This window comes from Homo sapiens (genome assembly GCF_000001405.40).
Source record: "Homo sapiens chromosome 15 unlocalized genomic scaffold, GRCh38.p14 Primary Assembly HSCHR15_RANDOM_CTG1".
Taxonomy (NCBI): Eukaryota; Metazoa; Chordata; class Mammalia; order Primates; family Hominidae; genus Homo; species Homo sapiens.
Genome location: NT_187382.1, coordinates 52,515 through 53,187, shown reverse-complemented (window position 1 = coordinate 53,187; position 673 = coordinate 52,515).

Genomic DNA, 673 nt, shown 5'->3' with positions numbered 1-673 from the left:
TAATCCCAGCGCTTTGGGAGGCCGAGGTGGGTGGATTGCTTGAGCCCAGGAGTTCGAGACCAGCCTGGACAAAATGGCAGAAACTCCGTGTCTACAAAAAATACAAAAATTGGCGGGGCATGATGTTCTGCGCCTGTAGTCCCAGCTACTCAGGAGGCTGAGGTGGGAGGATCACTTGAGCCCGGGAGGCGGAGTTTGCAGTGAGCTGAGATGTCACTGCATTCCAGCCTGGGCGACAGAAAAAAAAAAAAGAAATGAAAAAAAGAAATTGTATCCTGAATACATCTTCTAAAACACTACATTTACTTGCACTATATTAAACTGCTTTTATCCTGACCACAATTGCAGGTGAAAGATAACCACTGTTGTTCTATTTTTCTGGTAAGTAGAGTGAGCCATGTCTTGCCCAGGGAAAGACGCCTCCTAAAAATTTGTAGGACCACCTTTGGTTTTCTTCCAGATTTATTTTTGTCATCGCTTTTCCTGCGCCCAATTCCCATCTGTCTAGCCCTTCTGCCTCCGCTGGGCTTTTTCGCGAGCCTCTCCCCAAACGCTGGTATTCGTCTGGGCTGCAGCCCCGCCTATCTCCTGGGGCGTGACCACCTGTCCAGGCCCCGCCCCCGTCCACCAGGCGGAGACCCGCCCCCTTTCCCGGAGACCCGCCCCCTTTCCC